General features: G+C 41.2%; 1 protein-coding gene across 9 annotated transcripts in view; it reads left to right on the top strand.

Moving 5' to 3' along the window:
* SCML4 (Scm polycomb group protein like 4) overlaps positions 1 to 24,540 on the top strand; it is a 143,885-nt gene that overhangs the window by 71,423 nt on the left and 47,922 nt on the right. For 3 of the 9 annotated variants that reach the window (XM_047418598.1, XM_047418596.1, XM_047418595.1), the window contains exons 2-3: positions 2,230 to 2,444; positions 18,952 to 19,045. The exons of 2 other annotated variants lie outside the window; for them this stretch is intronic. In XM_047418598.1, coding sequence (XP_047274554.1) covers positions 2,289 to 2,444; positions 18,952 to 19,045 — 250 coding nt within the window. In that variant the 5' untranslated portion in view covers positions 2,230 to 2,288. Of the gene's footprint in view, positions 1 to 2,229; positions 2,445 to 18,951; positions 19,046 to 24,540 lie in introns of those variants that run through there. 4 more of the 9 variants (NM_198081.5, XM_047418597.1, XM_011535704.3 and 1 more) reach the window with 3 other exon arrangements.

The following is a 24,540-nucleotide window of genomic DNA, read 5'->3' as shown; positions in this document are numbered from 1 at the left end:
CTGAGTTTAAAGTCTATAAAAATAATAAGGAAGAAGCAGAAACTTGATGAGAATAGTTCAAAATTAGACTCGGACCAACTTTCACATAGCGAAAATCTTATTAAATAAATTTGGTGGTTCTTCAATGTTTTTAGTAGCCTCTTTTTGGAAAACAAATATTTTGGATATTTATTGGCACTAAGTCTAGAAGTAGGATGATTTTTTTGTTCACATGTTAATGAGCTTATAGTCCCTCATCCTAACTGATTGACTTTAAGATACCTTTAGTTATATCACCTGTCATTATTTTATGTACTACTAAGATAGAAAAAAAAATGCTCCCTATGGAATTCTGACACACTGTAGGGTGCACCCTGATTTCAGAGATGTTAATATATGAAAAATATGCTTCTTAGAATCAATGAGACCGAGTATTTTTCTTAAACTCACAAGAACAGAAAAAAAATTCGTATCCAGAACACCTTGTCTGTCTAACAATGCATTGTTTTCTGTTTAACAGTGCATTCAAAAAATAAATTTATACTTTAAAATTCTATTTACTACATATGGTATTTCCAAGAACAATCAAGATTATTGATAGAATACTGCTCATATTCAGAAAATTAACAAAGTGACCTTAAATCTATAAAGGATACCCAATATTTCCTATCATGTTTTTAAGAACTTCCACTATTTTATATTTTCTGTCCTGAGCAGAGCAATCTTGTCCTTGTAGACAAGGCCCAGGCCAGGGTGTAGGGACTGTGCCCATCGTCTTCCCCAACTTCTTCTACAAGCTTTTGGGCAAAAGCCTCTCATTTCCACTGTAAGGTACCACTAATCCTTAAAAATGAATTTTATCACCCCTGAATCAAAGTCTAAAGTTCTGCCTCACTCATCACATTCCTGAACATTCCAGGAAGTCTGACCCCTGAACTCATGATACCACTATGTTCTTTGAGTCAAGTTTGATCAACTACCTCTTGCTTCAAGGTTTAGGCAATTCTACCTGAGAAGCTTATTCTTTTTTTTTTTTTTTTTTTTTTTGAGACAGTCTTGCTCTGTCACCCAGGCTTGTATGTAGTGGTGCGATCTCAGCTCACTGCAACCTCTGCCTCCCTGGTTCAAGCAATTCTCCTGCCTCAGCCTCCCGAGTAGCTGGGATTACAGGCATGGGCAGCCAAGCCTGGCTAATTTTTGTATTCTTAGTAGAGATGGGGTTTCGCTATGTTGTCCAGGCTAGTCTCGAACTCCTAGGCTCAAGTGATCCAGCAGCCTCAGCTTCCCAAAGTGCTGGGATTACAGGCATGAGTCAGTGTGCCTGGTGTGCCCGGCCTTATTATTCATATTTTTAGTGCCATGCTAAGATTATTGTAGTGTGTGTGGTATCTGTACAAAGGATTGTACATGCTGAACAATTACCCATAGTCCTGCCATCTTTGCCTTGGTGGCATTTTAGCATGTCTGCTTCCACTTTTTGACCATACAAATTTTTTGCATAGTTGAGGTCATTTTAATGTGCGATGCTTTTTTTATTCAACATCATGTTGTTCAAAAAGTGTCATTAAAGGCTTTTAACTAGTTGATTGTTTTATTCTGCAGATATTAAGTATTCTCCTATTGCTTATTATTTGGGTTGCACGCATTTTAATTTTGCAATTCTAAATCATGTGAAAATGAACAAATCATGTTAAAATGAACATACCTGTATGTAAATCTCTGTCCACATTTTGATACAAGGACATCATCAACTTTCATACAATTGATTTGATCAATTTAAATTTCTTAAATTTCTTTCAAGAGAAAAAGAGGTCATGACAATTTATAACTCAAGCAAAGAGATAGGAGTGAACATGAGAGAGTGGCTTTGTTTATTTAATATTATTGTTACAACAGTTCAAAGTTGAACTAACTGAGGAAACTGAGACACAGACAAAGTCATTTTGTTGCTGGTGACATTATCAGCTGTGTTTGGAGCTGGGAAACTATTGTTTTCTTTGCCTAGCCAGTATCTTCCCTACTTCACTTGCCCCATGGAAATTCAACATCCTTGAAATTACACCAGTTAACTCCCCCAGAGGCCCAACAGCATCGTAAATGCATCTAGTGGTACCTAGCTCCTTCATATTTGGTCTTCCCCTCCAATAAGTGGTAGGTATCGCCAAAATCACCAGACAGGATCATGTTTGCCTTGCAAACCAAACAAACCCTTCTGTTTTTGTTTTGCTTTGTGTCTGGACTAATTCTTAGCACCTCTTCTGCCTGTGAGCGATTTGTCACCTCATTCTGTAAGACTGGCACCAGCAGAAATGCAGTCTCAAAGGATCCCGGGGAGAAAGCGAGGCCGACCCTCACTTCACTCCACGCCTATGAAGATGGCAGTTCATAACCTTTATTCTGCTTCAGCTGGCTCTTTACCAGCAGTGAAGATCCCAAAGAAAAGAGGGCGGAAACCCGGGTACAAGGTACGGCTCCATCATCTCCTTCTCCAAAGTGGTATTGGGCTGGGGCACGGGTACTTGGTCAGACCTGCACTGCAAAATGCCACTAGAGGTTGGGAGCTTGGTAGAGACAGGATGAGAAATAAGCCTCCCTCGGTGAAGTATGTGACGGATGAGGTCTCACTGTTACAACATGGCCATAATGCATGCTGTCGTGTGCATTTTTCCAAGTGGAGAAAGCAAATTACACCAGATGGGGAAAGTTGTGAGTGAGTAGATTTTAGGGTCATCGCTAAACACACATTATTAAACCTTGCATCTAAATTAGTGTTTCAGACACTGAGCTTTCCCCTGACTGTTCCTACTAGGGTAAATCTTGAAGCCACTTTCCAGAACTCATTTGTCATTTATTTTAGCAGGAGCAGATGATGTTCCTGAGACATTTAAATTAATAATGTGAGCAGGCCAGTGTCAAAGGACATGGGAAAGTCTTCCCAAACAGAACCTCAACACAGAGAGTCATAATGAAAATTCAGCGTGTTAATTCCTAGTTTCCCACTTCTAAAAGGTGCTGATGTCGAGTTTGGCTACAAGGAGGCATATCAGGCAAAATTACATTCCTGTGACCCTTATAAGAATTAGCAGTGATTTGGAGAGGCTGGGGTGGAGAATAAATCCTCTGATGTAACCACAATCATAAACCAACTCAAACTCAAGGGAGGGCTGCTTCTCTTAGTTGTTTTTGAATAGGCTATTAGAGAGGAAAAAAATGTTACACTTGTTCTTCACAAACCTTTCGGGCATTAGAAAATGAGCTTCAGGAGTTTTCCTTTATCTATTTTTCGTGAAATAAAGGCTTATGTTTCCATCTTGAGACCTGAATACTGAAACCAGAATGCAAATTGGCAATTAACTCCCATATATTTAGGAAAATATATGGAAATTATTTCAGGTCAGTAGAAAGAGCTTCTGGAAGAGTTGGTAATGAATTCAATCTTTATCCCTTTGGTTCTCCATAGTTCTTCCAAATGCTGGAAAATAAAATCAGTAGGTGGGAGGAAGGCTCCTCAAAGTTATTGTGGGGTCATTGGTTTTAGTAAAAGAAGCTTTTACTCAGCTATCTCATGAGGTAAAGTCTTCTCTCACTGGTTGTTCTTCTAACAACAAGAATCTCCTTTCTTTCATGTGCATGCCAGCTTTAGAACTCTCTCTTAAGCTGGCGTAGGGCCAGTCTTACCCACTCACTACTGTGCAGTTGTTGGCTTCTGGGAATTGCATCTGGAGGGCTGGAGCAGGGCAGCCTTTCTGTTTATAGATGCATCGAGCAAATCCAGGATTCGAAGAAACATACTGAAGACTTCTGTCTCCTATTTGGCCTTTCTCCTACTCTCCTGGAGGCTGTGACCCAAGAATGAAAATTACCAACAGACTCAGCATTCCTGGGGCCAGGAAGAATGGAAAATTCATTCCATGAAAGGAACCTGATTTCACAATTTTCCTGTCTCCTCAAAAGGGTAGTTTTCAGCACTCATGACACTCAGAGACAACTCAGGTCAGGAAGAAATCTTTGGGTTGGTTGGCTGATAATACAGAGCTCTGCCCAAAGCAGGCAGTCTTTTCCCATTTCCTCATAGAGTTTCTCTTATGGGAAGTAGGCCACTCCTCTTCCTTGAATCTACTTCCCATATATTTAGGAAAATGTATGGAAATTATTTTAGGCCAACAACTCCCAGAAAGCTTCCCAAGCTATGGGCGTAATGTTCTAGAATAATAGTTCCAAACCGGGTGCCATTCTGTGTGAAGTTCCCACCCATCCGTGGTGACATAAGAAAAACAAGAGCCATTTGAAAGTCTTCATGAAGTTCAAATGATTCCCCTTAAAGGATGATCCTTTATTCTGAAATATCTGCTTCCTACTATCTTGGTGGTAAAATGTTTTGTTTTATTAAATGTTGTATGTTAATAGGATTTAGTAATTTTTAAAAATGTTCTTAGTTGGCAAAATAAAGTTGGCAACCTATTAATCTCCCCAGTTTTATTTTGACAATTTCCTAGACCTGGACACCCCATTTTACCATTAATGACAGGACTTTAATTGTGAAGAAGCCAGCTCAGAAATTGTACAGTTTCACTCCATTTGCCAAATGTCAACTAATTTGATGATTTTAACTCTCTGGGACACAGCTGGGGAGCCAGAAATTGTTAAAAAAAACCCTGACCAAGCAAAGTAAGATATTACTTGGTCTAACTTTTAAAGATCTTGTATTTCATTGCTAAGAAAATGCTTCCAGGCCTTCCATCAGAATTTGTTTACATTTTTTGTTAACATGTTTCTTGCAAGCTCAATTATAGCTGGTTAGTAGCCTTAGATTTGGAGGGGAAGGTATTTTTGGGGAGAAGACTCCATACACAGCTGGACACTGGAGAATAATAACTTTTGTAGTGAGATGATAATATACTAACAAGAGAGAAATAATACAGTAATGTCAATCTTATAAAATAAGATATAACATAATTTTATTATATCAATAATAACATTATTATAATGATATATTGATGTTAATAATAGCATCGTAATAAAATCATATGTTTCTGAGCCTTTGGCAGGCTCTTCTCCAGGAGATTCTGAGGACGCCTCATTGTGTTGACTGTATAACAAGTCTATGCTGGTTGACATTTGTCACTTCTTGCCTGATGCTTCCCCAGCTGCTCTGTCAATCACCTCTGTGCATATGTGGGAACTCTCTCTGGTCCAAGACCTGCCTTCAAGACTCAAGAACATGTAACACAGGCTGTGACACTTAACTGCTTCCTGAGGATAACATGAGTGAATTGCAGGCAGATAAGGGAGGGTTACACTGGCGGTCAGGTGTCAATGCTCTAGAGTTCATAGGTCAGGCCCCCTCCCAGGGCCCATCTGGCCATCTCCCTCTTGGCCCCAGGCTCGCAGCCACATGACTGGGGCAGACTCACAGCTGGAAGAGTATCACATTTTATGGTGCTACTGCCCCCTTCTTGCCCTGGTCAAAGAAAGCAAAACCTCTGAACGTCGTATGTTCTATGAAGAGCCACACTCTGACTACCATGAAGATAGCCTTGTTCATGATCAAACAGAGCATTTACCTCTCCATTTGAAACATCTGCTATTGGTTGAGGTCCTTAGTTCAGAGACTCCCCAAGATCAATAGGTAGATTTTCCTTACATTTCATGACCAAAAAGACCACCAAGGTATTTTTAAAGAAACAGAGGGGGCTGCAGTGAGAACAAATCCTAGTTTCCATTCTGTTGAGCCAGCTGGTTATAATGCCTCTAATAGTGGGATTTCAATCTTCTGTGTCTTCCTGGTTGGGATTTTTATTTAAGCAGAAGAAACAAGTTCTGGGTTTTGAAAAGTAGTTGTTTGTCCCCAATAAAAGGTAATAATAATACTAATAGCAATCATAATCATACAAAATATTTATTGAATACTTTTACGTTTGAGGCTCCGGGTGGAAGCATTTTGTGTGTATTTCTTATTTGATCCTTGATAGTTTGAGAGTGAGAGGAAAGAAGTGTAGAAAAACTGCAGGACTTAGGCATGAATGAACCAAGCCCACAGGAGGCAGCAGCCCTCCGCTCCTCAGCCATCGCCTTGTATTATTGTTCAGAATAGCAATTATGCTTCTCAAGTCAAAAAAGAGAAAACGATGTTCTGTCTGCTCTGTTTAATGAGTTAAGAAAGGTGTGGCATGTTCTAGAAAGGCTATCATCCTTGAAATGTTAAAAACAAAATAGTTAAAATGACTTAAAATGTTGGTAATTGTGTCATTCGGGATACAAATTCAGCTGCTGTAACAAGGGCTAAATAACAGTGACTTTAAAGAAGAAAGAAGCTAATTTCTTTCTCATGTTAAAGTGTGGGAAGGCTGGTATGATGGCTCCATGGGGTGGGGACCCAGGCTGTTCCTGTATTGTTGCTTGTCACCTAGGCTGGAGTGCAGTGGCACCCTCACAGCTCACTGTAGCCTTGACTTCCCAGGTCAAGCAATTGAGTTGTGGGGAATACAGATGCACGTCACCATGCCTGGCTACTTTTTTACTTTTTTTTTTTTTTTTTTGTACAGATGAAGTCTCACCGAGTTCCCCAGGCTGGTCTTGAATGCCTGAGCTCGAGAGATCCTCTCGCCTCAGCCTCCCAAAGCGCTGGGGTTACAGGCATGAGCCACCGGGCCCAGCCAGTTCTGCCATTGTTAACACACAGTTTCTACCTCCTGGTCTGACGTGGCTGCTCCAGGTCCCACTGTCCCACTGTTTTAGACAACAGAATGGGAACACAGAGCTAGCAGAGGGCACGCCTGTCTCCTTGAAGGGCTCAATTCTCGAAGTCACACATCCATTACAATTTGCATTCCTCAGGCCAGCAGTTAGTCACTCAGCCACCCGTAGCTACAAGGGAAGCTAGGAAACGCAGTGCTGGTTACCGAGTGATCAGCTAAAATTTAGGAAGTCCACTATTAAAGGGAGAAAGGAGAATGGATATTTGGGAACAGCTAGCAGCTTCTGTTGAGTACCTAAAGGACAGGCTTCTGTTAACTGGAAAATTCGCTTGCTGAAGTAATTTTCTAATTAATATGGGTAAATGCAATGTTTTGTAATCCTTCAGTACGTTGGATTGTTTTGTTCTCTCTTCCTTTTTCTTTTTCTGAAAAAATAGGTGTTCTTTGCCCTGTGTAACAAGAGAGTCAAGTTCACAAAAATCTCAAGCAAGAGAACTTAAGTAGAAACTTGAGTATTCAAACTTAAGTAGAAAGGGTTTTCGTTTGTTTGTCTCAACATTTGTTTAAAGCCTCTTTCTAAATGTGTTTTCATTAGAACTGTTGAATTGGCATCACGGGTTCTGTGGCAGTCCAGATGTTGTATTGCTTGGAGTTGTATTACAGACATTAAAGATAGCTTAATAGGCCGGGTGTGGTGGCTCAAGTCTGTAATCCCAGCACTTTGGGAGGCCGAGGTGGATGGATCACGAGGTCAGGAGATCGAGACCACCCTGGACAACATGGTGAAACCCCGTCTGTACTAAAAATACAAAAACTAGCTGGGCATGGTGGCGCGTGTCAGTAATCCCAGCTATTCATGTCAGGAGAGGCTGAGGCAGGAGAATTGCTTGAACCAGGGAGTCGGAGGTTGCAGTGAGCCGAGATCATGCCACTGCGCTCCAGCCTAGTGACAGGGCGAGATTCTGTCTCAAAAAAAAAAAAAAAAAAAATAGCTTAATAGTACAGATGGGAAGAGTGGCTACCTAATACCCTTCCTGTGTCTCTTTCCAGGGTCCCTCTCTTGCTGATGGTAGGTATGGATTGCTACCTGTGGTCTGTGGGGGAAATTATGACACAGTCACAAGGCAGGGGCCATTTCCTCGGGTTGAACATTGAGCAGCACCTAGGGTAGGGACTGTATCCCCTGAGTCTTCTGTTGCCTACCCCCCAGTGCCCATGCACCCAGGGCTGGAACAGGGGTCAGGGGTGAGGCTCAGAGGTGGATCTGAGGCAGTGGTAGGCTGGTAAATGTTTTACAGCTGGCATTCTGAGCATAGCTCTGACATGAATGTTAGTTGTTATTTTCACTCATGTTAAAGAGTAAAATGAGCGTAAACAATGAGGTCTTATGTCAGAGCTTTCCTTGTTTGTCAAGACTGAGAATGACTTCCTTGCTAAATTCGATAATAGTTTTGTTTTTTATCTGGACAGGGTTTTATTATACTATGTTGCCCAGGCTGGAGTGCAGTGGTTATTCAGGAGCGAGATCATAGCTCACTGCAGCCTTGAACCCTTTTTTTTTTTTTTTTTGAGACGGAGTCTCACATTATTGCCCAGGCTGGACTGTAGTGGCGCAATTTCGGCTCACTGCAACCTCCGCCTCCCAGGTTCAAGCAATTCTTCTGCCTCAGCCTCCTGAGTAGCTGGGATTACAGGTGTGCACCACCACGCCCGGCTAATTTTTGTATTTTTAGTAGAGACGGGATTTCACCATGTTGACCAGCCTGGTCTTGAACTCCTGACCTCAGGTGATCCGCCCACCTGGGCCTCCCAAAGTGCTAGGATTACAGGTGTGAGGACTGCACCCGGCCAACCTTGACCTCTTGGCCTCAAGCAGTCCTTCTGCCTCAGCCTCCCAAACAGCTGGGACTACAGGCATGTGCCACCATGCCTGGATTGGATAATAGTTTTTGAAGACAAAAAAGAATTTAAGTATTTTGTGCTATTCACATTGTAACAGCTATAGACATGACATGCTTTTAAGTTTAATCTGCATTTTTAGTATTTTCTCCATCATTTTTTAAAATCTATAAATCAACACAGCTCTAATTCACAGCATTTCCCAGATTCTAAGGTGTAAATATTCCCTTCATGGCCAATATTGAGCCACCAATGAATTCACATCCCTGAATATGGATTTGGGAAAAGATGTACAGCAGCAAACCCTTGGAAATACAGATGGAGTCGTAAAATTAGCAAGTGATGAGTTGTCAGTATTTATTACTTTTGTTTTTAATAAACTTTTTATTTATTTGTTTGTTTGTTTGGTTTCACTAAGTAAAAAACGACTTGTGAATGGGGCAGCCTCCTGAGCCAGAGTAGGTTCAGAGACTCCCTACAAACTTTATTAACTTGTAAGTGTATATACTGTAATTTTTATTTTTAAAATTTTTTTGACACAGAGTCTCACTCTGTTGCCCAGGCTGGAGTGCAATGGCGCAATCTCAGCTCACTGCAACCTCTGCCTCATAATTTTTAATAAGGGCTGTGTTTAACAATCCACTTGCAATACTCCTGAAGATGTAACAATCCTCTCTCATGGACTAGTACAAGCCGGCTCCAGCCCCTGGGGGATCAGAGTTCTGCTGAGCTCAGGATGCCTGTACCCGGATGGTCCATGTCCCCATTCTCATCAGCTGGGCTGACAGTTTTGATCCCATTGCCACTGATGCACAGAACTTGACCCCCTCACCAGTTTCTGTAAGACACCCAATCACACCAAGCAGTTCTTGACATGTATGGTTTCTGCTAAAGATTGTTGGTGTTGCAGGCCATAGTGGACAGCTTCTGTTAAATGACTGTCATGGATAGATGTTTTTCTGAATCCTACTTTATTTAAGGATAGTGTATTAGTCTGTTTTCACCCTGCTGATAAAGAGATACCTGAAACTGGGTAATTTATAAAGAAAAAGAGGTTTAATGGACTCACAGTTCCACATGGCCAGGGAGGCCTCACAGTCATGGTGGAAAGCGAAAAGTATGTCTTATATGGTGGCAGATAAGAGAGAACGAGAGTCAAGCGAAAGGGGTTTCCCGTTGTAAAACCATCAGATCTGGTGAGACTTATTCACTACCACAAGAACAGTATGGGGGAAATTACCCCCATGATTCAGTTACCTCCCACCGGGTCCCTCCCACAACACGTGGGAATTATGGGAGCTACAATTCAAGATGAGATTTGGGTGGGGACACAGTGAAACCATATCAGATAGAACTTTTTTGTTTTTCTTTTTCTTCCTTCTCTCTCCTGGTACCCATGGAATACTGGCTTCATTGTCTCCTCTCTTGGGTTCCTTCGGTGAGGAGGAAATGAAACCATTCCTTCCCACCTCAGGCAGAGCAGGAGCCCTCCCCACCTCATCACCAGTCTCAGCCCCTCTCTGGATACAGACCAGCATCTGAACCCATAGGATCCGAATCCTGTCCCACATCATTTGCATCTCTGAAAGGCACAAGAAAGGGTGGGCCATTCCACTCCCACCTCCAAGCATCCCCTTCTGCTTTCACTGTGATGAAGGCAATCTATTTTATTTGGGTAATTTTACTTTCCTAAGAAAGTGTTAGTGCAATGATTATTTAATTAGAATCCCAGATTTGACCAAAGCAGGCCTCAAGGCCAAAAGGTACCAGCCCTTCCATCTCTTGGGTGTTTAACATCTCCCCCAAGTGCAGAAGGAAAAATGTACGAGTAGACCCAGTTACAGGCTGACTCCTAGGAATGGAATTAGATCACTGGCCACAAGCTTCTTGTTATTGGAACCAATTTGCATTTCCAGCAGGCAAGTTTTTAGACTAAAGTCTGTGGTTAAACATGGTGAGTTATTCAATGTCTTCTAACTTTGTTCCCCTGGAGCATCTCCTCAGAACCCCAAGGGAGTTTTGTATGAAGAAAGAATGTGAATTCCAAGGAGAAATGTGTCCACAAGGAAAACTATGGGCAGGGACATGGACAAAGCTAGTCTTCCTTAAATAGAGGTGGGGAGGTGTCTTAGCTCGGGCTGCCATACCAAAATACCATAGCCTGGGTGGCTTCAATATGGAAATTAATTTTGTCATCGTTCTGGAGGATTTAAAGTCCAAGATCAAGGTGCAGCAGGATTCAGTTCTGTGAGGGCTGTCTTGGCAATGGCTGCCTTCTTACTGTGTCCTCACATGGTGGAGACAGCGAGCAAGCTCTGGCCTCTCTTCCTCTTCTTTTAAGAACACTAATCCCGGCCAGGCGCAGTGGCTCACACCTGTAGCCCCGGCATTTTGGGAGGCAGAGGCAGGCAGATCACTTGAGGTCAGGAGTTTGAGACTAGCCTAGCCAATGTGGTGAAACCCTGTCTCTACTAAAAACACAAAAATTAGCTGGGTGTGGTGGCGGGTGCCCATAATCCCAGCTACTTGGGAGGCTGAGGCAGGAGAATCGCTTGAACCTGGGAGATGGAGGTTGCAGTGAGCCGGGATGGTGCCACTGCACTCCAACCTGGATGACAGAGCGAGGCTCTGTCTCAAAAACATACAAAAAAAAAAAAAACAAGAACATGAATCTCTTCATGGGGCATACCGTCATGACCTCATGTAAACCTAAGTACCTCCCAAAGGCTCCACCTCCAACTACCTTCACATTGGGTGTTAGTACTTCAGTGTATGAATTTTGGAGGGTACACAAACATTCAGTCCATAACAGAAAGGAAGAAAAGGAAGGAGAACATAATTAAAAAAACAAAAATCTAGGCTGGGCATTGTGGCTCATGCTTGTAATTCCAGCACTTTGGGAGGCTAGGCAGCAGGATCACCTGAGCCTAAGAGTTCGAGACCAGCCTGGGCAACATAGCACTACCCTGCTTCTACAAAAAATAAATGAATTAGCCAACTGTGATGGTGCACACCTGTAGTCCTAGCTACTTGGGAGACTGAGGTGGAAGGATTGCTTGAGCCCAGGAACTCAAAGCTGAAGTAAGTCATGATTGTGTCACTGCACTATAGCTTGAGTGACAGAGTGAGACCTTGAACAAAAAAAAAAAAAAAAAAAAAAAAAGAGTGCATTTATTTTCTAGGGCTGATATAACAAAACACAACAAACTAGATAACAAACAACAGAAATTTATTGTCTCAGAGTTTTGGAAGCCACAAGTTCATGATCAAGGTGTAGGTAGTGTTGGTTCTTTCTGAGCCTGTAAGGAAGAATCTGTTCCATGTCTCTCTCCCAGCTTCTGATAGTGTCAGGCTTTCCTTGGCTTGTAGACAGCTTACTCCCCATGTCTTCCCATCATCTTCCATCTGTGTGTGTCTGCCTCTCCGTCCATATTTCCATTTTGTATAAGGATACCAGCCACATTGGATTAAGACCCAGACTTATGACCTCATCTTAACTCAACCATCTGCAAAGACTGTATTTTCAAATAAGGTCACATTCACAGGTACTGAGAGTTGAGATTTCAATATGTGTTTGAGGGACACATTTCAACCCATAACATCTAATATGACAATCTTTGTCTTTTAATTAGGTGTTTAGTCCAATCGTATTTTTAAAAATTACTAATAAATTTGGGCTTAAATCTATACTGATTTTTTGTATTCTATATATTCCTTTTACCTGTCTTTTCTGCCTTCCTTTTGAGTTATTTTTTATTATTTAATTTTTTCTTTCCCATTCATTGGAAGTCAAGCGTTCTGTTTTCTGTTGTATTAATGGCTACTCTAAAAATTACAGCATGCTTACTTATTAGAGTTGTCTAAAGTTAACCATACTTTTGCTTCTTCCTAAATAATACAAGGACTTTAGTACACTTTAATTCCATTTATATTCTGTCCCCCACACTTATATATTATTGTTGCCATGCATTTTAATTTTTTCTTTTTTAGCCCCTCCAGTCATCATTATTATTGTTTGATACAGTCATTTTCATTTAAATTCACCTGATTATTTACCACCTCTAAAAAATTCTTCATTTTTGTATATCAGACCTTCCACCTGGGTTCCTTGTCATTTTGCCTGAAGTAAAATGAAAAGAAGCTCCTCTAATATAGGCCCTGTAGTGATAAACTCTCAGTTTTTGTTGTTTAGAAGTATCTTTATTTTACCTTCACTTTTGAAAAAAAAAAAGACTTTTTTTTCTGGGTGTAGAAGTCTAGATTGTCAGTTATTCCCTTGAAGCACATAGACGATATTATATTTTGCCGGGTATAGTGGCTCATGCCTGTAATCCTAGCACTTTGGGAGGCCAAGGCGGGCAGATCACTTGAGGTCAGGAGTTTGAGACCAGCCTGGCCAACATGATGCAACCCCATTTCTACTAAAAATATGAAAATTCGCTTGGCATGGTAGCGCCTGCCTGTAATCCAAGCTACTTGGGAGGCTGAGGCAGGAGAATCACTTGAACCCAGGAAGCAGTGGTTGCAGTAAGCCGAGATTGCGCCATTGCACTCCAGCACGGGTGACAGAGCAAGACTCTGTCTAAAAAAAAAAAAACCAAAGATATTATATTTATATTCTGGGGTTCATTGTTGCAGAGAATTCAACTACTTTTCTAGCTTATTAGGGTGTTTCTTGGAAAGTAATCTGTATTTTTAATTTTAAGATTTTTCTCTATGTCTTTGGCGTTTTATAATTTCACTTCATTGTGTTGACGTGTGGATTTATATTTTATTCATCCTATTTAGGATTTGCTGAGCTTCCTGAATCTGTAAGTTGAAATCTTTCATCAGTTCTGGAAAATTCTCTGCTATTATCTCTTCAAATATAATCTCCTTTCCATTCTCCATATTCTTTTCTTCTGAAACTCTTATGTTTCAAACTTCTCATATTCTCCATTTCTTTTAACCTCTTTTCCATAGTTTTAATCTATTGGTTTCTGTGCTGCTTTCTGGGTAATTTCTTCTGACATATCTTCGAGCTCATTAATTTTCTATTTAGCTATGTTTACAATGCTGTTAAGTCTATCCATTTACTTCTTAATTTTAGTTACTGTGTTTCCCACTTATAAAAATTCAATTTGCTTCTTTTTCAAATTTACTGTGTTTTTTAAATCATTTTTTGTTCCCCAGATATATTTTCAAGCTTGTCCTTTATATCTTTATACATAGTATCATAGTTGTTTTTATAATCTAAGTTCGATAATTGAAATATCTTAATATTTGGGGGGCTTCATTGCTGTGTGTTTTTATTGCTTATTCTTTCTTTAGTTATTTGCTTCCTTGTGTGCTTGAGTATTTTGGACTGTTATTCATCAACCTTGAAAAATTATTTTTGAGACTTCTTTGAAACCTTTCTCCAGAGATGATGTGTTTTCTTTTGCCTTTCCAGTCACCTGAGACACTGTCATATTGAGTAATTTTTTAATTAAATTCATAGCCTGAGGTTTTCTTGATCACCCAAGTTCTGTGAATTTGGGATGCAAATATATGTGAGGTCCGGCTTCTGGTAATATCTTCTCAGAGATTCTGCAAATCCCCTCCCTCAGTGTCAAGGCAACTTTTCTTGTAGCCAGGTAGGGGTGGGAGAAGATGGGACAAGTCTACAGCTGGAGTGCCTTTATTGTAGCTCTTAGGGTAAGCCCTGGGCTTCATAGCAATGCCCATGGCCCAGATTACACCTATATGTTGGCCTGGTTATTCTTTATATATGTCAATTCCTCCATACTTTTAATCATTTTTGCATTTATTCATTATTTGTAGTAGTTTCAATTGACTGATCCTAATAACCAGTTTTCCATCTTACCAGAAACAGGACTTCAAATAATTTAGAATGCTACATTTCTTCTAATTAACATTCCAAATATGGTGCTAACACTGGTTTTGACTCAAATTCTTTAATGTGTTCAAAAATAATCTAATGAAAGTTACACACACAACATTATGAGTTGGGAAGAGCTTAGAAACCAACAACTGTAACCCATTTAAAGGCTTTGGAAGATGAAGCTTAGAGGAGCTGAGTGAGTTGCTCAGAGTCCCGTGCGAGTTGGCAGTAGAACCAGGACTAGCGTGTCATTTGTTATCTCTAAGACCTGTATTCTTGCCACTGCCCTGCAGTGCAGTGGCAATGCGTAGTTGACTGAAATTATGTCCATTTCCCCGATGAGGAAATATGGATTATTTCCTTTTCTTCATGCCCTCTCCCAAAGTTCTGCACAGAACTTTTGCTGTCTCATTCTGAAGGTTTATTACTTTAGTATTACAGAAGGAATGTTTTGAAACTTAGAGACAAAGCCAGTATTATTGCCCAATAATAAGTCTAGTTAGTTAACCAAATCAGCAGTAAGTAAATACATGCTAGTGTTTTATAACTAACATAATAAAAATGTACTATTAAAGCAAAGATTTTGTGAATAGATGTAGATATTGTCCTAGATTTTGTGCTTTCTCTCACCCGTCACTTCAGTTCCATCTCAAAGTACACCCTGAATCCAATCAATTCTTTCCACCTCCCTACTTCCACCCTAGTTTAGCCACCAGTGTCTCTCAGCTAGACCACGTGATACCTCCTTAGTAGTGTTCTTTTCTGCACTTTGCCTCCACTTCCCCATCCATTCTGCCTAACAGCAGCCTTATGTATGTATGTATGTATGTATGTATGTATGTATTTTGAGACAGGGTCTGGCTCTGTCTCCCAGATTGGAGTGCAGTGGCGCAATCTCGGCTTACTGCAACCTCCGCCTCCCAGGCTCAAGCCGTCTTCCTACCTCAGCCTCCTAAGTAGCTGGGACTAAGGTGCATGCCACCACACCCAGCCAGTTTTTTTTTGTTTTGTTTTGTTTCAGGTTTTTTTTTTTTTTTTTTTTTTGTATTTTTTGTAGAGATGGAGTTTTGCCATTTTGTCCAGACAGGTCTTGAACTCATGAGCTCAAGTGACCCTCTTGCTTCAGTCTCCTAAAGTGCTGGGATAACAGCACTCAGAGATTCTGATGTGAGCCACTGGGCCTAGCACCATATTTATTTTTATAAAATGAAAACTAGCTTGTGTGTTTCCCCGCTTAAAATCCTGTAATTATTTCCATCACTCATAGAATAAAATCCAAGCTTGTTATCCTGACTGTATTTGTTTCCTTAGGGCTGCTGTAACAAAGAACTACCAACTGGGTGGCTAAAACATCCTTTCTGGAGGCTAGAAGACTGAAATCAGGGTGTCAGCAGGGCCATGCTCTCTTTCTGAAGACTCCAGGGGAGGGTCCTTTCTTGCCTCTTCCTAGCTTCTGGTGGTTGCCGGCTGTTTCTTGGCTATCAACACATTACTCCAATCTCTGCCTCTGTCGTCACATAGCATTCTCTCTAAACAGGTGTCTGTGCCTGTATCAAGTTTTTTTCATCTTATAAGCACACCAGTCATTGGGTTAAGACCAACCCTAATGCAGTATGCACTCATTTTAACTTAATTACCTCTGCAAAGACCCTATGTCTAAATAAAGCCAATATTTGCAGGTACAGGGGATTAGAACTTGAACCTATGTCTTTTTAGAGAGACACAATTCAATGCATAACGCTAAGTTAGAAAACTGCCATTATCTCAACCTAACCACCTAACTTGACCTCTTCTTGCACCATTCTGACTCTTGCCCACAGTTCCAACCACTCTGGTTTCTTGAAGAAGCCAAGCTTTAGAATGTTTGCACAAGCTGTTCTGTCTGCCTGGAAAGCTTTCTCCAGTCACAACAGGCTACCTCTAGCCACTCACATCCTGACTTCAATGTTACCCCTTTATAGGCCTACCCTGGTCACCTAGTTGCTTGCATTGAGAACAAGAAGTTTATCTTCCCCATTCACAGCTGAATCTTCAGCACCTAGAACAGTTCCTGGCACATAGTAGGTGCTCAAGAAGTTTTTGTTGAATAAATGTCTGTCTGATTGAATGAATGATTTTTTTTCCTTTTTAGATTTGGCTTAAATGATGCCACTTGGAAAGGATAGGTATTACATAAGCAACACTTAGGAACCATTTCAAGATGGATTGGAAGCATGTTTCACAGAGGGGATCATCTGCGAGGTGTGAGGAAAAAGGGTCGATTTGCAGAGATTTCTGAAGATGTGATCCCAAGAGATAAGCATGGAAAATGTAGATGGGTTCCAGGAAAGATGGGCAGTTTCCTCCTCCTGCCATCACTTCATGAACAAGAAACTTGGGACTTATTTGCATTTTTGGAATTTCTAAAAGTAACAATAATAATACTAACACCAATAATGACAATTAACTTTTATTGAGTTCTCACTTTGCATTATGCTAAACTTCTGCATTTAATTCTAACTACATCCCTGTGTGAGGGCTATTATCTTTACAGATGAGGAAAGGCAGGCTCTGAGGGCCTAAGTACTAAGCTTCAGAATCAGCGAGTGGCCACGCTGGACATTCAATCCAGATCCAAAGCTGGTATTCCTTTGCATGTGCCCACTGCTGCCCTAAACACATTTTAAAATCTTGCTTTGTTGGCTTACCCTCTGCGGATGTGCCAGCAGCCTCTATACATCCTCATCCTTCCCCAGCCACACTCTCCATCCTCAGATTATCCACCTCTTGCTACCAGTCTGTCAAACAATGTTTAGTTGGCATTTCTGTTACTGCCAAAGCCAGATGTTTCTAGAAAAATCCTTGAGTTTTATATCAACCGATCCTCTCCCCTTTAGTGTGCTCTTGACCGCACATCTCCGTTTCCCCCCAAATCCCCTCCCAATTCTTTCCAGTGATGTTCTAGCAAATGTCTTAGACAAGGTCCTCCCCTAAATGACAGCTGGAGCCAGAAATTCCCCAGGCCCATATTTTGGTTCTATAAATGGAAAAGAAAGATGAGCTGATTCCAGATTCCCCAGCCCCCCTGGTGGAGACTCCAGCTGGTAGGGACACTTTGCCCTACCGCTTTGTCCCAGCAGTATTCTCTAATGAGGCAAAGCACAGACCTTGCCTTGGATGAGGGGTCGCCACACCTGCTGGGTTGAGGTTTTGAATCTCAGGTAAAGGTGGCAACTGCACTAGCATTTGGGCAGGGATGTTGGCTTTGAAGGCCCAGGATTAGCTCCTGTATGTCAGAGCATGGCGTCCTGCACAGCAAGCTGCTTCCAGTTCTGTGCTGCCAGGAAGAGGCCTCTCTTCTCTCCTCCTCTCCATTTACCCAGTTTATTCTGCCACATCCTGTTTTTAATATTTTGAAAACAAACACTATTTTAGAATAGTTTTCAGTTTACAGAAGTATTGCAGAGATAAAACAGAGAATTCTCACGTACCCCGCACCTGATTTCCCCCCATTTTTAACATCTCATATTACTGTGGTATGTTTGTCTCAACTAGTGAACCCATCATAATACTTCATTATTAAATAAAGTCAATATTTTATTCCGATTTAATTAGCTTTTCCCTATTCTATTCTATTCCAGGATCCCATCCAAGATACTACATAACATTTAGTTGTCATGTTTCCTTAAGCTCCTCTGGGCTGGGAAAGTTGCTCAGAATTTCCTTTTGTGATGACTTTGGCAGTTTTGAGGAGTACTGGTTGGGTATTTTGTAAAGTGTTCTGCAATTTCAGTTTGTCTAATGTTTTTCTCATGATTAGACTAGGGTTAGGGGGCTTGGGGAAGAAGATCCCAGAGGTGACGTGGCATTTTCATCATATGGTGAGAGTACATGCTAGTGACATGACTTATCACTGATGATGTTGACCTTGATCCTATGGTTGAAGTCTTATTTATCAGGTTTCTCCATTGTAAAGTTATATTTCCCCTTCATTTCCTTACTGTACTCTTTGGAAGTACTCACTGTGCACAGCCCATCCGTAAGGAGTAGGGAATTGCACTTCACCTACTTGAGGGAGGGGTGTCTACATAAATTATTTGAAATTTTTATGCATGGGAGAGTTGTTTGTTCTTTCCCTTTTATTTACTGAGTCAACCACCTATTTATGTCAGTGTGGATTCATGAATATTTATTTCATACTTTGAGTTATAATCCATTACTACATTATTTATTTGTTGTTCCTCTTGGTCCGAATTTGGCCACTGGGAGCTCTTTCAGTTGGCACCTGTGTCCCTGTAACCAGTCCCCACCATTGTGTGTGTTTTGTTTCCTTAGTGTTGTCTTACTTTCTGGCATTACAAGATGCTCTAGGCTCCCAGTGTGTAATCCCTACCCTAATCCTAAAATCAGCCATGTCTGCAAGGAGTTTTTTTTCCTTACATTGAAGAATGGTGTTAGAAACCACTATATCAGAACTGTGTTTTATTTTGTCCATTTAAAAAACAAAATAGACAGCTTTTTTTTTTTTTTTAGAAACCTAAGGCAACAACAAAGACAAATGCCCTGCCAGAGAACAGCTTGGATAGGTTGCGACAGGCAGAGAACCCCCCCATTCCACTGGAGAGAGGTTTGTGCTGATGGACTGGGCCCTGCATCACACTAGAGCAAAGCTTCTAGCCAGTGGGCTCATATCCGTGCTCTTCTTTTTTAGGACTTTTCCAAAATCATGGGTGACTCCCTTTTCTACACTAGGCTACTTTTTATTCTTTATATTAAGCAATGAGATTGAAATTTCTGAATGCTAAGTCAAAAGGGTATTTCTACTCGTGATTTTTTATCTAGCGAAGGATATTTTTAAAAAGCCATATACTACCCATAGTTGCTCGTGACTTTTTCTTTCATTCAAAAGTTCTAGCAGTTGTTTTAGAGACTGGATAAATACAGGAGGTTTCCTTGCAATCAGGCAATTTAATCTAATCCCTGTAATTTCAGTTGGGCAGAAATGGACAGAAGTAACAGCCAATTATAATTCCATTACTTCATTTGAGGTGGGTTCAGTGAACAGATTCCTCTCTAGTAATTTTTTTTTTTTTTGAGACAGGGTCTGTCTCTGTTGCCCAGGCTGGAGTGTAGTGGTGTGATCATAGGTCACTGCAGCCTCGATCTCCTGGGTTCAAGCAATCCTCCTGCCTCAGCCTCCTGAGTAGCTGGAACAACAGGCATATGCCACCACGCCTGGCTAATTTTTAAAATTTTTAGTACAAAAGAGATATCACTATGTTGTCCAGCCTGGTCTCCAGAGCTCAAGCAATCCTGCCGTCTTGGCCTCCCAAAGTGCTGGGATTACAGGTGTGAGCCAATACACCTGACCTCTAATAAATATTAAAATGGTGAGGAAACATTAGATGTTAAAGTCATTAGGAGGTCTATATGAACAGTAAACAGTGTCTGGATATTTACGTTTTAGTCATCATCATCATCGTCATTTTTCTAGGGAAGAATCACAAGTATCTTTGTGTGATTTGCTTAAAGACAAGAGGAAAAAATAATTTGCCAATTCCATTTTTCCCCAGTGAGCATTATTATCTCTGTGTTGGCAGTTAAGGGCTTTAAGCTTGTGAAGGAGGATTTAGCCAGGGTTATCCCAGAAGTCACTGCCTGAAGTCCTCAGGGACTCTGTCACCACCAGCCTCTCCATCACAAGACATGGAAAGTGGGATATCATTCCTAGAAAGGCAGTTAGGGGACCCTTGGTGCATGGCCTCCATAAATAGGCATGGCAGCCGCCACCCTCATGACACTTGGCAGATGAGGAAGTCACACCAAAGTCAGAGTCACTGAGTCAAAACAGGTTTATGATCTCCCATTCCCATGACTGAGGTTTCTTTTAAATTATGTTTATAATATTTAGCAGTGTATTCCTACAGGATATGTCCTTTAATTTTGAAATGTGACACTCAGAATAAGACGAAATCTCTATTGTTAATTATAGTTTCTGATTAATATAGAGGTTCCCTTGAGAGCCTCAAATTCAGCACCCATTTAGCACTGTGCAGCCAATGTGCTTGCTGTTGACTGATCTCATTTCACATTCATTTCTGCACATCCCAGTGCCCCCTCAGTGCTGCTCAGCAGCCGTGCTCCATTCCCCAGGCCTCCTACTCTCCCAGTTCATGACCACACCCACCTCCTCTGTCCTCCCACTCAGCTTCCATATCTTGGGGAAATTGGAAGCCATGGGAAGAGACCTTCTGCAAGCTCCCACCTCCACATCCACCCACCCCAGCATTCAAACCTTTGTATTCTGTCTTCCTTCCTGTTGCAATAGATGGAAAGTATGTGCGTCCTCTTAGGCCACGGCCTCCCTCATGCACTAAATCTCCTACCCTCTCACCTACTCAAAGCCCTTTCATGTGAGCAGTTCTCCACACACTCTTCTGTACAATCAATTTTTCTCTCTCTACTGGATTATTTTAATCAGCATTAAAACACTATTTTTTCTCCCATCTCAAAAACAAAAAACAAAGAATCCTTAAAATTAATTTTTTAAATTTTGCTAAAAAACACACAAAATTTACCATTATTTCTAAAATTTACCGTTATTGAGTTTGCCATAAAACTCAATAGTGTTAAGTATATTCACATTGTCATGCAACCAATCTCCAGAACATTTTCATCTTGCGAAATTCAAACTCTCTACCCACTAAGCAATAACTCCCCATTCCCACCTTCCCCCAGTTCCTGGCAACTACCATTCTACTTCCTGTCTCTATGCATTTGACTTTTGGCTATTGTAAATAGTGTTGCCGTGAACGTGGATGTGAAATATCTCTTGGAGACTCTATTTTCAATTTTGGGGGCTACATACTCAGAAATGGAATTGCTGGGTCATATGGTAATTTTATTTCTAATTTTTTTTAAAAACTGCCATACTCTTTTCCATAGTGGCAGCACTATTTTACATTTCCACCAATAGTGCTCAAGGGTTCCAGTTTCTCCACATCCTTGCCAACATTTACTATTTTCTGGGGGGTTTTCATTTTGTTATTTTTTGTTTTGTATTTTTTAATAGTATCTATCTTAACAGCTACCAGAAAGGTGGTATCGCATTGTGGGGCAAAAAAATATTTTAATCCCACTTTGTTCCTTTGCTATGGCTAGTTCTCTGCTCCCTTTTTTGACAAAACTCCTTGAAAGAGGAGTTGACTTTACTTACTGATCCTAATGCCTCTCTTTCCATTTTTCCAATCAGGAGCTACCCTATTTTAAAATCTCAACTCAAAGTATAACTCCTCAATTGCATTTCCCATGCCCTTTGCTTCTTTATTTTCACCATTGGCTCTTATCACCTTCTAACATACTATATCATATACTTATTTATTCATTTATTGTCTCCCCACCCCCGCTGGCCATTAGAATGTCAGTTCCACGAGGGCAAAGATTTATTCTTATCCCAATTCAACCCACTGTGCCACCACCTTTCTTGTTGATAAACTGCTAAATCTAATGGCCACTCCTAGTCTTACTTGTCTAATCAGAGCACTTAGCATGGTTAACCACTATCTCCTCCTTGAAAGAACCTTTCCATTCACTCCCACACTCCCACCCTCTCCCAGTTTTCTTTCTACCCCATTGGGTGCTCTTACCTGATTTCTTTTGCTTGCTCCTTTCTCATTTCTCCAGGCTCTTCGTGTTGGAATCTTGCAGGGCTCAGTGTTTGGATCCTTCTCTTCTCCATCTACATTCACTTCTCTGATGATATCTTCCATTATTATGGTCTGACATACCAACTCTATATTCATGATTCCCAAATGTACATCTTCATATAGGCTCTCCCCCAGAACCATATACTCTACTAGATGCAACTGCCTAGTAATATCTCCACTTGGATGTCTAGCAAGTATCTTAAACTCGACATGTCCAAAACTCACCCCTGATCTTCTCTAGCCCCCTCCACTCTATCCTCCTTCCCTTCAAAATAAACAACAACAACAAAAAAACTACTCCACCTAGAGCCCTCCTGGTGTCAATGCTTGAAGTCATCTTTGACTTCCTTCTTTCTCTCATATACCACATTCAATGTGTTGGTAAATTTTGTTGGTTCCACCTTCAAAACATGTCCAGGATCTGTCTACTTCTCATCACCGCCACTGCTATCATCACCACAATCCACCCTACTGTCATCTCTCAGCTACTGTAGGTTAGTGGTCCTCCCACTTTTGCTTCTTTCAGTCTTTTCTCAATACCATAGTCAGAAAGACTGTTGGTCGGGCACAGTGGCTCACGCCTGTAATCCCAGCACTTTGGGGGCCAGGGCAGGCAGATCATGAGGTCAAGAGTTTGAGATCAGCCTGGCCAACATGGTGAAAGCCTGTCTCTACTAAAAATACAAAAATTAGCTAGGCGTGGTGGCGGGCACCTGTAATCCCAGCTACTCGGGAGGCTGAGGCAGGAGAATCATTTGAACCTGGGAGGCGGAGGTTGCAGTGAGCTGAGATGGTGCCATTGCACTCCAGCCTGGGCAACAAGAGCGAAACTCCCTCTCAAAAAAGAAAGAAAGAAAGAAAGAAAGAAAGAAAGAAAGAAAGAAAGAAAGAAAGAAAGAAAGAAAGAAAGAAAGAAAGATTGTTAAAATGTTAGTTTAAATCCTATTGTTTCTCTGCTCAAAAGAGTTCAAGAGTAATAGCTAAAAGCCTGACAGTGTCCTGCAAAGCCCTGCCCAACCTGGCTTTATTACCTCTCCTGTCTCACTCTGGCCTCCCTACAGTTGCACAAACCCTCCAGGCATACTCCTGCCTCAGAACCTTGGGGCTTGATATCGACATTGCCTGGAATATTCTTTCCCTACACACTGTATGACTTGCTCCCTCACCTCCTTCAAATCTTGGGTACAATTTCACCCAAGAAATGCCTCAACCTCCTTATTTAAAAATGTCAGCCTAAAGTACAACTCAATTGCACTTCTCATGCCCCTTCCCTCCTTATTTTCATCATCAGCTTTTATTAACATGTAATCTACTATATCATTTACCCATTTATTCTGTTTATTGTCTGTCTCCCCCCAACAGAATATCAGTTCCATGAGGCCAAAGATTTTTGTATGCTTTGCTTCTGCTGTTTCCGTAGCAGCTGGAAGAGTGTTGGGCATGAAATAGGCTCTTGGTATATATTTGTTGAACAAATAAATGAGTGAATATAGAATGACTGGGGAACTAGCAGTTCAAATACTATTTCTCCATGACTATTATTAGTATTCTATCCTAAAAATCCAGGACGAAAGTGAAGATATAGATGAGGACTGCACACATGTTAACAATAGGACATACAACCTTGCTACTCGAAGTGTGGTCCATGGACCAGCAGCATCAGTGGTACCTGGGAGCTCATAGAAATGCAGAATCTCCTGTCCCAGACCAGAACTCCTGAATCAGAATCTGCATTTTAACAAGACCCTCTAGAAGGTTGATTGCAAAAATTGAAAAGCTTTGGTGTTGGGCAAGGGTCCCCAGCCTTAACTGTGTATTAGAATCTCAGTATCTTTAAAAACTCCGGATGTGTGAGTCTCACTTCCAGAGACTGACTTAATCGGTCTAGAGTGAGGTCTAGATATAGGTCAGAGGTGAAGACAGGGACATGACTGACTTTCTTCATTACTTTTGGGTAGAGAGCTAAGATTAAAAGCTTGTCTCTGTACTAGTCTTGATATAAAGAGTAACTTGTTAATATGGATATCAACAAGTCATCAACTATTCATCTTCCCCTTACTCCATAAGAGCAAATTTTAACTCCTCCTTTGTGGTTTCAAGTGAAATCATCAAAGTGGCTGCTGCCCACTCTTGTGTCCACATCCAGCCTAGTTTTGTCAATCTGCTGCAGGAAATAAACACAGTGGTATGTCAGCCTCTTGGAGGAATGGCTCCTGCTCTCTTTTCCGGCAGGACCCAGTGATTTTTGTGAGCAGAGAGCTTGGGAGACAGTGAAGGGTTGGTCTCTGGTTGGGTGGATACAGGGAAAGCCCTGTCCACAGGATTCTAGGGAACACATGGGCTGCAGGCTGGAAACTCTCCTATCCTGCATTCTGCACTCAAAGCGTTCATGGATGCCAACTCTTCACACCTCTGT

This window comes from Homo sapiens, chromosome 6 (genome assembly GCF_000001405.40).
Source record: "Homo sapiens chromosome 6, GRCh38.p14 Primary Assembly".
In the NCBI taxonomy this organism is placed as follows: domain Eukaryota; kingdom Metazoa; phylum Chordata; class Mammalia; order Primates; family Hominidae; genus Homo; species Homo sapiens.
The sequence above is the reverse complement of the archived record's forward strand: the minus strand, read 5'-3'. Positions and strand labels throughout refer to the sequence as shown.